This window comes from Homo sapiens, chromosome 10, assembly GCF_000001405.40.
Source record: "Homo sapiens chromosome 10, GRCh38.p14 Primary Assembly".
Taxonomy (NCBI): domain Eukaryota; kingdom Metazoa; phylum Chordata; class Mammalia; order Primates; family Hominidae; genus Homo; species Homo sapiens.
The window spans coordinates 48216983-48231877 of NC_000010.11; the positions used below are offsets into that span (position 1 = coordinate 48216983).

General features: G+C 40.6%; 1 protein-coding gene across 6 annotated transcripts in view; it reads right to left on the reverse strand.

The window, feature by feature from the left end:
* FRMPD2 (FERM and PDZ domain containing 2) overlaps positions 1-14895 on the reverse strand; it is a 118337-nt gene that overhangs the window by 60424 nt on the left and 43018 nt on the right. For all 6 annotated transcript variants that reach the window (NM_001318191.1, NM_001018071.4, XM_047424652.1 and 3 more), the window contains 2 exon segments: positions 5331-5469; positions 6141-6288. In NM_001318191.1, coding sequence (NP_001305120.1) covers positions 5331-5469; positions 6141-6288 — 287 coding nt within the window.

Sequence of the window (14895 nt, forward strand, 5' to 3'; positions counted from 1 at the left end):
GGCAGGGAGGAGGTTAAGAGGGCCAGGCCAGCTCTGAGACACTGCCTCCCTGGGGCAGTGTCAGGGGCAGAAAGTGAAGTTCCAGTATCCATGGACCAGGGTAGTCCCAGGAGAGGGGACAGAGGGGAATTGAACTATACAGTCCCCTGACAAGCCAGCTGCTGATGTTCTGATGGATTACTGTTATCTGTAGTGTCTTCCAGTCCGGGAGTTTCAACTCCATTCATTCACAGCTCTTGAACAAACTCCCTGCGCTTCAAGTACTGCTTTGGTGCTGGATAAATGGCTACACCAAACAGACAAAAACACCCTTACCCTCAGGTGTTTTCTATGCTAATGACCAATAAAATGAATTCATCATCCCACATGATGACAAATGCTGTGAACAAAAACCCAGCAGGGTGAGGGAATACACAGGGACTTTGAAGACCCCAGGACACAGCAGCGCCTTCTGAAGCTGTACCGGGAGGAAAGCAAGACAATGTTGGGAGAGTCTGAGAAGTGTTTTCAAACCGCAGTCTGTAACCAATTGGTGAGCTATGAATCAATTTAGGGGCCCATAATCAGCATTTTTAAAACGAATGAGAATATAATAGGAGATATCAATGTGCATTGCATATAGAAAGGATGCTCCTTATTTCCTGAGGTTTTTGCTTCAGTTCTGTTCTATATACATGTGTAGGTGTTGGGTTTTAATGTCCATTTATCCATGGGACATGGCAAAAAAAATTTTACAACCCACTGTTCTCACTGTTTTAACTGTTGGGCTTGTCCTTGCTCTTTAATCCAGTTCCAGAACCAAGGCAGGCAAGTTATAACCAAGGTCACTCACAGCCCTCCCTCTCTATCCCACATACCCTGTGAGGAATAAGACACAGAACTCTGCGAAGGTGTCCACACCCAGTGGTGGCTACTGTTCCTCCTTCTCAGACTCAGGGTGTACTAATCTACTAGGGTTGCCATAACAAATACTAACTAGGGGGCTTAAACAATAGAAGTTCATTTTCTCATAGTTCTGGGGACTGGAAGTCCAAGACCAAGGCTTCTGCAGGTTTGGTTTCTCCCAAGGACTCTCTCCTTGGCTTGCAGAAAGCCCCCTTCTCCCTGTGTCCTCACATGGCCTTTCCTCTGTACTTGTGCCTCCATGGTGTTTCTTTGTGTGTCCAAATTTCTTCTTCTTATAAGGGCACCAGTCAGATTGGATTAGGGCCCACCCTAACAGCCTCATCTCAAATTAATCACCTTTTTAAAGGCCCTAACTCCAAGTACTGTTAATTAGGGGTTCTACATATGAATTTTGGGGCTCAAGACTCAGCCTATAACATAAGGCCAGACCCCGATGACGTAGCAGACTAGAACTTTAGGTAAACATGGCTCCTTTATTCACCAATGATGTAGCATCTCTGACCACTAAGTGCCCACTGGTGGTGGACATGTATTTCTGGCCACATGTGACTATTCACTTTCTTTTTGAAGGAGGAAATGGGAAACCATCCTTCCTCCCTCTCAGTCTATGCACTTGGCAGTGTGAGCTCTATCCCTGCCTCCTAGGGTGACCATGGGGTTAGACTCAAGTCTAACCAATCAAAGCATAACATCTCCCTACACAATGATTGGCTTCAGGTGGGCACATGACTCTATCAGCACCAATGGGAAAGAAGCCCAGGATTTCCATGCCATTTCCAAGGGAGAGACTCTCTCTCTTGCACAGGGCTGGAACCTGGAGAGTGGAATTGGAAAGCCATGAAAGGCAAATGTGACAGAGGAGAGCACAGCTCAGAGACACAAGAAGCCCAAGTCCTACTGACATCATGTGAGTTCCTATCACCCAGGCTCCAAAGTAAGAGTGATTGGGCTGGAAGCTTGTCACAGGGATGCTGGGAGGCTGAGAAAGAACCAGAACCCTTCAATTTTGCAAGACAATAAATGACATGTTTTATTCAAGCCAGCCTGAGCTTGATTTTCTATCACTTCTAATCAACAGAATGCTGTCCAATCACCTGTGCTGGCCAAAGGTATGGGAGGATGCGAAAAAGTATCCAGAGGGTCCACTTGTGGGGCCAGGAACTCTAGGGGGTTGGTACTGACCTTGAAAGGTATATAAGGTTGAGACGGATGTGCAGACATTATGGGAAAGGGCATTCAAAGGCTCAGTAACATGCCAGTTCTTAGGATCTCAAGGATTTAAAGGTCCTTTTGAAGATTTCTGGGGCAGAAGGGTGGAGTGTGTGTGGTTAACATTTCTTTCTTTCTTTTTTTTTTTTTTAGCAGTGAATTCCTCCTTCATGCAGTCCTCTTGAAGAAGACCATCTCTTCTCCAAGCTAAGCATTCCCCAGTGGCACCCAGCTTTTGTCACATGACAGTGGTGAGTGCTCTCCAAGGTAAAGCCCAGCATGCTGGCTGGGAGGTCACCAGGGAAGAGATTGGTGGAGACTTCCCCTCCCTTGCTCCTTCCTCTCTGCTCCTACTGATACACCCAGAGATGGACTCCACATTCAGATGTCATGTCACACTGCTGGGTCACACTGCTCGGTCTCTGTTGAGGTCTGTTCCCAAGCCTTTCCCTTCATCCAGAACATGGGCAAGAGATGAGGGAAGTGCTTCATAAACCCCAACAGCAAAATTACACTGCTGTCATAACAGCTCAAGTGGTTGGTTTCTCCTTCCTGCCTTGTGTCCCCATTTTAAATCATAATTAGGTAGGTAAATACATTAGCATAATCCTTCCCTATTAATAGGCATCTGAACATTAAATAACAAGTTACTAACACTATTAACTCCCTGAGGATTATAACAGAGGACTATCATTGGCAGTTAAATCAAAGAAACTTGCATATGATTCTGCTGCAGGGGCAAGGGCTTGGCCAAGATTAGGATTGCCATTTGAGAAGAGTGTATCCCAGAAAAATCAGTATTGGCCTTGGAGTAACACGTCTGGGCTCAAATTTAGACTTTACAATGTACTAGCCACATGAACTTCAGATCACTCTTCTAGAAAATTGAGTGATAATATCAACTCTATGATATTATCACACCAACTTACAATGTTGCTGCAAGAGCTAAGTGAGTTAACATAAATCGACAATGTCTGGGTAAATGCCAGGTACATAGTGATCTTTTAATAAAGGTTGGCTATTACTATTCAAAGCAAGACTAACCAAAAAGAACAAATCTGGAGACATTACATTACCTGACTTCAAACTACACCATAAGGCCATAGTCACCAGAACAGCATGGTACTGGTATAAAAATAGGCATATAGACCAATGGAACAAAATAGAAATCCCAGAAATAAAGCCAAATACTTACAATCAATTGATTTTTGACAAAGCAAACAAAAACATAAAGAGGGGAAAGGACACCCTATTCAACAAATGGTGCTGGGATAATTGGCTAGCCACACACAGAAGAATGAAACTGGATCCTCATCTCTCACCTTATACAAAAATCAACTCAAGATGGATCAAAGACTTAAATCTAAAACCTGAAAACATAAAAATTTGAGAAGATAACACCAGAAAAACCCTTCTGGATATTGGCTTAGACAAAGACTTCATGACCAAGAATCCAAAAGCAAATGTAACAAAAACAAAGATAAATAGATGGGTCTTAATTAAACTAAAAAGCTTCTGCACAGCAAAAGAAGCAATCAGCAGAGTAAAAACACAACCCACAAAATAGGAGAAAATCTTTGCAATCTATACATCCAACAAAGGACTAATATCCAGAACCTACAAAGAACTCAAACAAATCAGCAAGAAAAAAGCAAACGATTTCATCAGAAAGTAGACTAAGGACATGAATAGACAATTCTCAAAAGAAGATATACAAATGGTCAACAAACACATGAAAAAATGCTCCACATCACTAATGATCAAGGAAATGCAAATCAAAACCACAATGTGGTACCACCTCACTCCTGCAAGAACGGCCATAACCAAAAAATCAAAAAATGATAGATGTTGGCATGGATGTGGTAAAAAGGGAACACTTTTATACTGCTGGTGGGAATGTAAGCTAGTACAACCACTATGGAAAGCAGTGTGGAGAGTCCTTAAAGAACTAAAAGTAGAACTACCATTTGAACTAGCAATCCCACTACTGAGTATCTACCCAGAGGAAAAGAAGTTATTATACATAAAAGATACTTGCACACGCATGTTTATAGCAGCACAATTCCCAATTGCAAAAATATGGAACCAGCCCAAATACCCATCAATCAATGAGTGGTATATGTATATATATACCACAATTTCTTTATCCACTCATTCCATAAAAAGGAATGACATAATGGCATTCACAGCAGCCTAGGTGGAATTAGAGACCATTATTCTAAGTGAAGTAACTCAGGAATGGGAAACCAAACATCATATGTTCTCACTCATAAGTGCGAGCTAAGCTATGAGAATGCGAAAACATAAGAATGATACAATGGACTTTGGGGACTTGGGGAAAGGGTTGGGAGGATGAGGGATAAAAGACTACATGTTGGGTGCAGTGTACACTGCTCAGGTGATGAATGCACCAAAATTTCAGTAATCAACACTAAAAAACTTATTCATGTAACCAAACACCACCTGTTCTCCAAAAGCCTATTGAAATAAAATGAATAAATTAATATAAATAAATTTTAAAAATAAAGGTTGGCTATTACTATTGATGATGGTGATTATGATAGGAATTCAATAAATTAGTAAATTACTGTCTTTAGGAGGTACCTATTGGACTAGAACTAGACTAGAACTATATTACTGAGTATAAACTGGATTTATTCATCTTTGTGCCTCCCAGAGCCTAGCAAAGAGAGCTCAGTGAATGCTTTCTGGATGAATAGGTGGATGGGTGTGTGGGTGGCTGGGTGGGTAGATGGATGGATAGGTAGATGGATGGGTGGATGGATGGGTAGATGGGTGGGTGAGTGGATGGATGGATGGATGGGAGGATAGATCAATGGATAGATGAATAGGTGGGTGGGTGGGTGGATGGATGGATGGTTGGATGGATGGATGGATGGATGGATGGATGGATGGATGGATGGATAGATGGATGGATATATGAATAGGTAGGTGGGTGGATGGATGGATGGATGGAATGATAGACAGGTGAATAGGTAGATGAGTGGATGGATGAATCAATGAATAGGTGGATGGATGGATGGATGGATGGATGGATGGATGGATGGATGGATGGATAAATGTAGTTTACTCCAATCTAGCTGGTAGATGCTAACAATACTCAAAGCAGAGTCTCCACATTACTAACACATGCCCTCATCCTGTAACTGTTTTTCCAGTGACCCCACACAAAGGCCCCTGGTGTTCACCCCTACCTCCTTAGGGTAATTGCCAAACTCAGCCTGCAAGGCAAGGACCCCCAGCTGCAGCAGTATCTCTTCATTGCAGTACAGCCTCTCCTCCAGGATATCTTTCCGAAGCTGCAGGTAAAACTGGTGCCTTGTCAGGCTGTGCCTGGAAAAGAAGTAGCAATAAAAAGGGCTGGGTTGCTAAGGGAAAGGGAGAATGTTAGCACCAGTGGGTTTTCTCAGTGTGGGAAGTTGGAAAAGTAGGGAAGACGAGATGCAACTCAATAGAATTCAGAGGCAATGCCAGCAAGACAAGTGTGGTCTCCTGCATTTATACCATGCCTCCTGCCCCTCGTTTAGGGCCACTCTATGCCAGTCACTTCATACAAACTTACAGAGGTGTTTCTTGCTCTGGTTTGAGTGAGGAAGCTAATAACCAGTTCGGTGGTGTTTCTAATAAACAAAGAAATAAAGACGCAGGGATCAAACTGCAAACCCATGTCTCTGTCCTCCAACCCTCATGACTGGGCTGCTGAGTTGTGTGTTGGGGGTGAGGGGGCATTTTGGGGTCACAGACAGAGAATTTTGACCTTGAGTGGAGTATGTCTGAAACAAAGGGCATATTCTCATTCTGACCAGGGCCTGCATAAAAAAACTGATTTTCCTCCTTTGTTCTATCTTGATCAGAATCCAATCAACAGAAAACCAACCACAATAGCTATTGTTATTTGTATGTAATTTACAGTTTGCAAAGCACTTGTCGATCCATTACCTCTCCGTCAGCCTGGACATACATAAATCCCTTAAGGAACAAATGAACAGGTTTGCAGCACTCACTGGAGCAGCCCATAGTGGCTGACAAAGAACTTTATCCTCAGGAAGAGTGTGAAGGTATTCATGGAGGTCTTCTGAGGCTGCTCTCTCCAGCCTTCAGGAGCTATTTTGCACAATCTGGTTTCACTGTCCAGGAAAAAGAACTCTTTGCCTGAAATGGAAATAGAGCATGTGTGGAAGGAGAAGCAGTAGGGATTGCACCATCTCTCAGACTCATAGCCCTAAGCCCTACCCAGAGTGTCACACACGAGCTGGGTGAGTGCAGGAGTGGGAGGTAAGTCTTTGCGTACCTGGTAGCAAGGAACCTTTGTTGGGGTCATGGGGTGTCAAGAAGGAGCAGACAAAGAGGAGAGGGTCAAATAAGGAAAACTCAACACCAAGAGGAGAAAATACCGTTAGTTATCTTATCTTACAAGATGTCGCTTAATATCTGCCTTCAGCTATCATCTCATGGGTATAAAATGGAAAACCAAGGAAAGGAGTTTGACTAAGTTTGTGCAATGTGCCAGAACCCTCCACCTCAGCTGTACCAACCCCCTCCTCCCCAGCCATGGACTCCTACAGTCCAAATATGTGTGTCCTCCCAAATCCATATGTTGAAACCCTAACACCCAATCTGATGGCATTAGGAAGTGGGGTGTTTAGGAGGTAACTATGTTTAGATGAGATCATGAGTATGGGTCCCCCATGATGGGATCAGCATCCTTATAACAGGAGGAAGACACCAGAGCTTCCTCTCTCAGCCATGTGAGGACACTGCGAAAAGGAAACCTCTGAAAGCCAGAAAGAGGACCCCACCAGGAATGGAAATCAGCTGGAACCCTGTTATTGGACTTTCCAACCTCCAGAGCTGTGAGAAAGAAGGGTCTATTTTTGAGCCATCCCCTCTGTGGTATTTTGTTAGAGCAGCCTGAGCTGCCTAAGGCATGGTGTAAGTGGAGTCAATTTGCCCTTTGACCCAAGTGGTTCCAGATTGAAAATTCCACCAACCCAAGCTCAGGACTTCAAATCCTGGCAAGTGTGTCCTCCAGTACCCCTGGGAGGGAGACTGAATCAGCCCCAGCCACTGAAGGCCCCTCCCCCACCCCTCTGCTCTCTTCACAGCAAAGCTCAACCCCTCCAGTGCCCTGGGCCACTCCTGGGGACTGCTGCAGGTCTGCCCCTGCCCTGTTCTACCACACACTCAAAGTGGCTCCTCCTTCTCAGTGCTCCACCCTTTCAGCCCAAAGCATTCTCTAGCAGCTTGCCTGGGCACAGGAGTCCTGCCCAGTTTTGGAAGGCAGAACTTTTAAACTGGTGACCAACCTCTTCTTCCAATGCCTATGCATGCTGGGGTGGGGAGGGGGTGTCCAGGATTTAAACAGCTGTCACCACACCACACTCAGACCTCCATCCCCTCTGCCACCTGCCTCTGCCCTTACTGCTGAATCTGATGCCCCACACGGGACTCACCCTTCCCTTAGGATGAATTCTCCCCAAGAGATAGGCAGTTCCCCACCAAAGGTTGGTTGGTAATCCCTCCCAAGTTGGTCTATATCCAAACCCTAGAGGTAGTCACCTTTGAGTGATTTCCCCAAGATGACCCTAGCTAGGCAGGTGTAAAATTGTCCATGTGGGAGGGGCTCAGGATGGCCACCTGATTGGGAGAAGGCAGGTAGGAGATAAGTGGATTTGTGAGTGCAGGTGCACTCACAATGCAAGCACACTGGATTAGATTGCATTTTATGGATCAATAACAACACAATTCCTAAAGACACCTGTATTCACAGGTTATGAAAGGTCGAGCAAATATCAATTGATCACATCAAAGCATATAACAGTTGTTCTTATTTGTGAGAGAGATCTTTAGAAGGTCTGATGAGAACTATGGGGATAAGAACATGCTCTCACCAGCCCTGCTTGGTACAAAGAATAATCATACAAGTTCGTGAGCTTTTCCTACTGGAAATGGGAAAATAGAGGAACACTGAGATATGACGCCTAAGCCAGATGGGCTGGGAGGGAGAGGATTTCGCCAGAAGGCCAGTGTGATCCCAGCTCAGCCTCCACACAGTGGTTAAAGAAATCCAGCTGTGGCAGCATGGTATTTATAGTAATGGTGTGAAAGTTATCAATACCAAAATGAGGTCATTTATGTCTAACCCTGATAAAGTGCAGCCAAAAGGCCATGAGGGAGGGGCACTCATGCATATGCCTATACCGAAAAATACCACAGGAAATGTTTTCCATTCTACAGCTTGCTACATGAGTCACACAAGGATAGCCAGCAGCACAAGGACAGCCAGCCGCACAAGGACAGCTAGCCACTCACACAAGAACACTTGCCTGACACTCTGTCTCCACTGATGAACTGATGTCAACTCCTGCAATAAGCCCCTAGAAAAAAATCATCTTTTTGTCTCAAAACAACTCACATGTACTTCTCTCTTTTGTCTTTAAAAGCTTCCCCTTCCCCCAGCCTCCTGGGATGCACCTGTAGTCCTCTAGAACATGCATATCCCGGATTGCAATCTCCTGCTAATTCCAGAATAAACTCTTTCTTTGGAAAGCCTGTCTCTCTTTGTTGTTATTTTAGGTTGGCAAAACCTGGTGTTAGAGATGTGGGATCCAAAAATGACAAGCCTTTTCCCATACCAGCGACCGCAGAACACGTGCAGTGCCCACTGGAGCCCATTGTGCTCTCTGCTTCCAGGAATCATCTTTCTGCTGGTGCTAAGTTCTGTCTTGGATTTGAGCACCCTCATTTTGGCTTGCTTTGACTTGATTCGAGATCTGGTTTTATAGGTCTGAAGGACATGGTCCTTCTTCTGAGTATTCTTTTGGTTTCACTTTTGTAGGGGATTTGGCATCCTTTCTGATGTGTACTCTTTTGGGGTTGGTTGTTTGTGTACAGAATTTAAATTGGCATCACATAGACTTTCCAAACATAATTCACCCCATGAATTTTTAAGCTTATGGACAAATTATACCAAAGATAATTTAGAGCTCCAATGGCCAGATGGAGACCATTTGAACTGCCCAAGCTTGTTTTTTCCTTAGAATTAAAATTAGAAGACTGCAGCTATAAGGTCAGTTTGAATGGGGCACATATTTCAATTGGCATCTTGAGGCTTCAAAACGCATTCAGGACTCAAAAATGCCTTAATGCAAATATCTCAAAGCTAGCTGAGACTCATTTGTCTCCAGAACCTTCCCTCCCCTATCTACAATTCCTCCTCCTCTTTGTCTTCCTCTAGCCGAACTCCTCTTTTTTCCAAACTGCTCAGCTACTAATCTAATTCTTCTCTCCATGACCACCAAGTCATTTTTTAATATGTGAATCTTCTAGGGAAGTTCTAGATGGGTGGAATAAAGAAGTTAAAATATGCCATTTGGGCCTATCAGCTATTTAAGTTAAAGGCACTTTTAAGCGCACTTTTAAGAGCAGGTGCAAATTGGCCACTTTGACCCTTGTGTTATTTCTTAAAGAAGATGAAATTCCCATGTGATAGTCATCCTCCCTCTCCTGGAAGGAAAGGCAACATCCTTATCTTCAAGGACAAGAAGTTTAGACACAGAATACCATACAGACCTTGTTGGAATAACTCTGATCTTTTAAGCCTCCTCATAATTTAGTCCCATTTTCACAATTAACTGTTTTTTGTCCAACCCAGTAACTAATTTGGTGGAGTCTTCATCTTCTTATGGGGGCTCCCATGCCACATAAAACATTTATTATGCTTTTCTCCTGTTGATCTTTCTTATGTTAGTTTATTTCTCAGACACAGCTGGAGCCTGTGAGGATAAAGGATGGAAGTAGAAGTTTTCCTTCCTTACAGTTTCTGGCAATGAGGATGGGACCCTAAGAGGCTGGACACCCCACTCACTCCAGCCTATGGATGAGATGCTGAGAGGCCTGACAAAAGCCTGCAAAAGGTGGGGGGATTCTTTCCAAAGCCAGCTTTCCCAAATATCTATGGATAGTGCCTAGCTAAGAGAAGAAGGTAAAAATTTTTTCTTGTCCCTTCTTTTCTAAATTTGAATTGGCAGGAGAAAAACATTTGTAAGGTTGTTCTCTGAATTGTGACTCTTGTGAATTTGGTTCTAGGTTCTAACAGAAATCGCTCTTTTTTTTTGTTTTTTAATCTCTGTCTTCTGTGTGATTTACCACAAGGATAAAAGTTACAATAAGACTCTCCTTTCATCTTGTTTTATGTCTCAAGAGCTCTGTAGCCAGTGAGGATATCTTCTCTGGTCTCCACCAGCTGGGTGGTGGAGACTGTCAGGTTTGCATCAGATGGCGAGCCAGCTGGCTAGGAGTCTGAAACATGAAGCATCTCCTTGTCCCAGAGTGCCAGCTCCCAGGGGAATTTGTCTCAATTGTTTCAACCTCCACTACCTTGTTAACAAGTAAGGTCTTTGTTTTTCGTCTTTGGGAGAGATGTTGGATCTCGAGGGGGGTACTGCATTTTTCACGCTCTTTTTGTGGAAGCCTCTCGTATCCATGGTTAAGACATAAAAGGCTTATTGGCTTTGAGTCACAATTGAAGTGGTTATACCTTTGGATATTTGGACTTTTGTATCTAAAAGTATTTTTAGAGAGCCCTCATCATGAACAACTGTCCTATTGGTACATGCGAGAAGATTTGGCTTGAAGGAAGAAAATAAACACTTTTATAAATTAACTGTTTTCTCAGAAAAACAGAACTAACCTAAATGTTTTTTGAGTTCAGGTGATCTGGTATAATTTTTGGTAAATATAGAAGCTAGTTTAAGTTTTTTGGTTCAATTAAAATAGTCATGTTTGGAGACTTGTCAACATTAAACATAATACAGACATACGACTTCTTCTATCTGGATTTATCAAGCAAAAGCGTATGTATGTTTAAGATGGTAAAATTGTAAATGTAACCTAAGAATAAAACATACAGTAAAAATAAATTGCTTGATGTGAGACAAATGTGACAATGAAAAAAGAGAGTTAAAAAAAGCCATATGTTTTAACTTTTAGGTTCTTTGCTTCTGTGGTATTTTTTAATACTTGCCTGATTTACTAACAATAAAAATAACGTAAGATAATGACTACATTTGTTTCATGTCTTATGGAGTTTTTATAAACAATTCAAACATAATTGTTAAAACCAAGTGAATTAATAAATGTAAATATAAATGAAATAGAGTATAAGTAAGCTTTTCAACAATGATTATGTTTTATAAGATATATCTACTTAAAATGGTTTATAAAATCTTTTTGGTTACTTAAAACATTACAGTTATAGTAAGTTAAATGAAATGATGAATATTCATTTAATAGACCACTTCCAAATAAGATATTATGCTGAAATATTAGTTGTTGAACATAAGTTTAAGCTTATATACTTTTGTCTCCTCATTGTAGAGGAACAAAAGATATTTGGGTCTGTTAATTAAAATGCTCTATTCTACACTGAAAAAATGTGCTATGAGGAAGCATATATTTCTAGGTGTTATAAAATAATGTTTTCACAAATTTGTAAAAGGCAGTTTATGATTGCTTACTTTCTAGTTTTCTGGTTTTCACTAGAAATTAAAGTTACCAAGAGTTTTAAAATTCCAATTACTAAATGTAATTCTGTACACAAAGTGTACAAAAATGTAAGATATGTTTGGGTGAGAAAAGTTAAAAGGAAGATATGAGAATGTGTTTTTATTTGTTGTCGTTTAAAAAAGTAATTTTCTCTAGTTGGAGGCTAGTTGAGGATTGCTTCAAAACAAATAAATAAAGAAAAAAGTGATATCAATAAAACTGAATAAGAACATTATAAATGGTTTGAGAAAATTGCAAAAGGTTTATGGAAGATGAATATTATGAAAGAAATTTTTGTGTGATCAAGATAATTAAAATTAGAAGAAAAGTATTTATTTATGTTTTTCTAAAATTGAGCCTTAATATCAATAGCATACTTGTGCAAAACTATTATTTTGTCTTCTCTGTTAATAAAATACAGTTATATTGCAGTATTAGCCTCTACTGTTAATATTAATATGTTTTTCCTTAACTTTTTAGTAATTGGCCTAGAAAACAAAAATTTTGTGTTTTATCAGAATAGTTTCTTGTGCTCTGTGCTGTATTTTATTAGCTCTTTTATTACTTAAAAAAGTGATCTTCTCAATATTCAAAGAGCTAAGTTTTGACCATTATGTATTTGCCTTTTGAAGAATTTTAATTATCACTCTGGTTAAATGAATGACAATTATTTTACAGTGACCAGTGATTCTACTTTGATCAAGGGTTTTAAACCTTTTGACAGTTTTGACAGCTTCCCAAAATCAAATTCTAAATTGAGTCTTTTTGACCTTGAATTTACTTTGGGTCTTTCCAGCTGGGCCCTTGGAAGCAACAAAGGATATGTCCCTCACCTTGTAAAAGAGGTGTTAAACTAATTGGGTTTATTCAATATGTTAAAATGCATGGGAAACATTATCCAATAATAAGTGGTGCCAAATCTTTAAGTTATATTTATAAATATAGTTTTGATATAAATGTTCCTAAAATTGTACAAAATTGCTAGAATTCCGATATGTCTTAGTATAATATTTGGTTATTATGTTAAAATGATATATGCCATAGAAACAATGAAATTTATCTGTAAATTGCTGGTTATAATAAACTCTCTTCAGATTTTTAACCATGGCCATTCTAAGTCCTTATCATCCATGGAATGTTATGGTGTTGGTACTTTTCTAAACGCATTTGCAATCAGCTACAGTCCAAAAATTGCTTTTTCTTCAAGGAGGTTCACAGAAAGGATGGAAAGAATTCTGACAAGTTACAGGTTTCTGATAACTTCAAGATCAAACCATTGGACTAAGGAAAAATGTCCAGGACACTAAAGAAGAAACAGAGTTTGTGAAACTGCTAACAAAGATCAAGCAGAACAAGAATTAATTACATGAGGCTGAACGAACGGATGAAAAAGAATAATGGGTTTTTATAATTTTTACTTGAAATTTCACTGGTTCTTTAAATGTTTTGTTTTCTAGATTTAAGGAAACTTTTTCCTTGTATGTTATCTATAGTTTACAACAATATAATAAAGTATACTCTTGTGAACAAAATTAAAATATTTGCTTTTTCTCCTTTCCTGATCCAACCAGAATTCTAAAACTATCCATAAGCATTCTTATTTTTATGATAATATAGTTATTTATATAAGTTCAATAAAATATGCTCTCTTTATAACAGGATACAATACTTAAAATTGGTTATATTACTAAGGCTTTGACTTGGATGTCATATTTGAAAATGCACATAAAGTTACTTCAGCCAAACTGAGGTTTGTCTTGATTTGGCCTCCTAGCCTTGAGAGACTTTTAAAAGTCAGGCTGAGATTCTTATCAAAAGTTCTAGCAGAACAAGCTTCAAAGGAGCCTACGTGGTCAACCACTATTCTTGATGCACTTATGCATCAAGGCCAAACTTGATGAGGCTAAACTTACTTAGTAAACAAATTTGTCTTATTGTGATTATCTTTAGTAAAAATGGGGGTAACTGTAGAAAAGAAATTATGCTTCTAAAGGAAGGTGAAAATTGTATTACACCTGTTATCTGACTGTAGCCCTGTTCATTGCTTTTGTGTGTTTCTAATCTACCTGTAGACTGAATTGGACCCTGAATTCTTCTTGCTTCCTTCAGTATCTGAAGAACAAAGAACAAGAACTTCTCTGTTCCTAAAGCCCTATAAACTGAAGCTGAACAACAACTCAATGTAAAATTCTAGGAACAAGTCTCCTGCCTGATGTGCAGGCTACATAGAGAGTTCACCAAAATGCCCAACGCTGGTCTAGTGCTTCGAAATGACAACCAACACCTATGAAACAGAACAATGAACTCCAGACAGACTTAGCCTCAGAGCCACTCTTTCCAAACCTCCATGTTGCTTAAATGAAGCTGAAAGATGTTTTTACATCAACTCCTACTTGCTGGTCATTTCCCTTCAACGTGAGAGTAGAACAACCAGGAAAGGTCCATCCCAGTACCGAGGAACAATCAAAACCTAACCACAGGATGATCCAGCAGTGATGCTTTCAGAGCAATAACTTGATCAAAAGGGAGAAATGTAAACATTATCAATACCAAAATAAGTCACTTATATTTAACCCTACTAAAATGGAGCTGGGAGGCCATAAGGGAGGGTCACTCATGCTCTATGCCTATAATGAAAAATACCATAGAAACTTTTTTCCAAACCACAGCTTGCTACATGAGTCACACAAGGACAGCCAGCAGCACAAGGACAGCTCGCCACACAAGGGCAGCTCGCCACTCACACAAGAACACTTGCCTGACACTGTTTTCACTAATGAACTGGTGTCAACTCCTGAAATAAGCCCTTGGAACCAATCACCTTTTTGTTTCAAAACAACTCACATGTACTTCTCTCTTTGTCTATAAAGGCTTGCCCTTGCCCAACCTCCTTAGATGCATCTATAGTTCACTATGGCATGTGGATCCTAGATTGCAATCTCCTGCTAATTCCCAAATACACTCATTTTTTGGAGAGCCTGTCTCTCTCCACTGTCATTTTAGGTCGACAGCAGAAATAAAGAGTCTCTAATAGAACGTCAGAGAGGGAAGAGGGTATAGAAACCCTTTTTCTTGGATATTTAGAATGGAGTCTTAATTAGCTCCTAGGGTCAGGGTACTAAGTCCCCATTAGTCCTGCATCATTAGATGGAAATGCTTTTAACATTTGCTTGTTTGTCTAACTTCAGTGCCCTGAGATCAATCAACCAGATC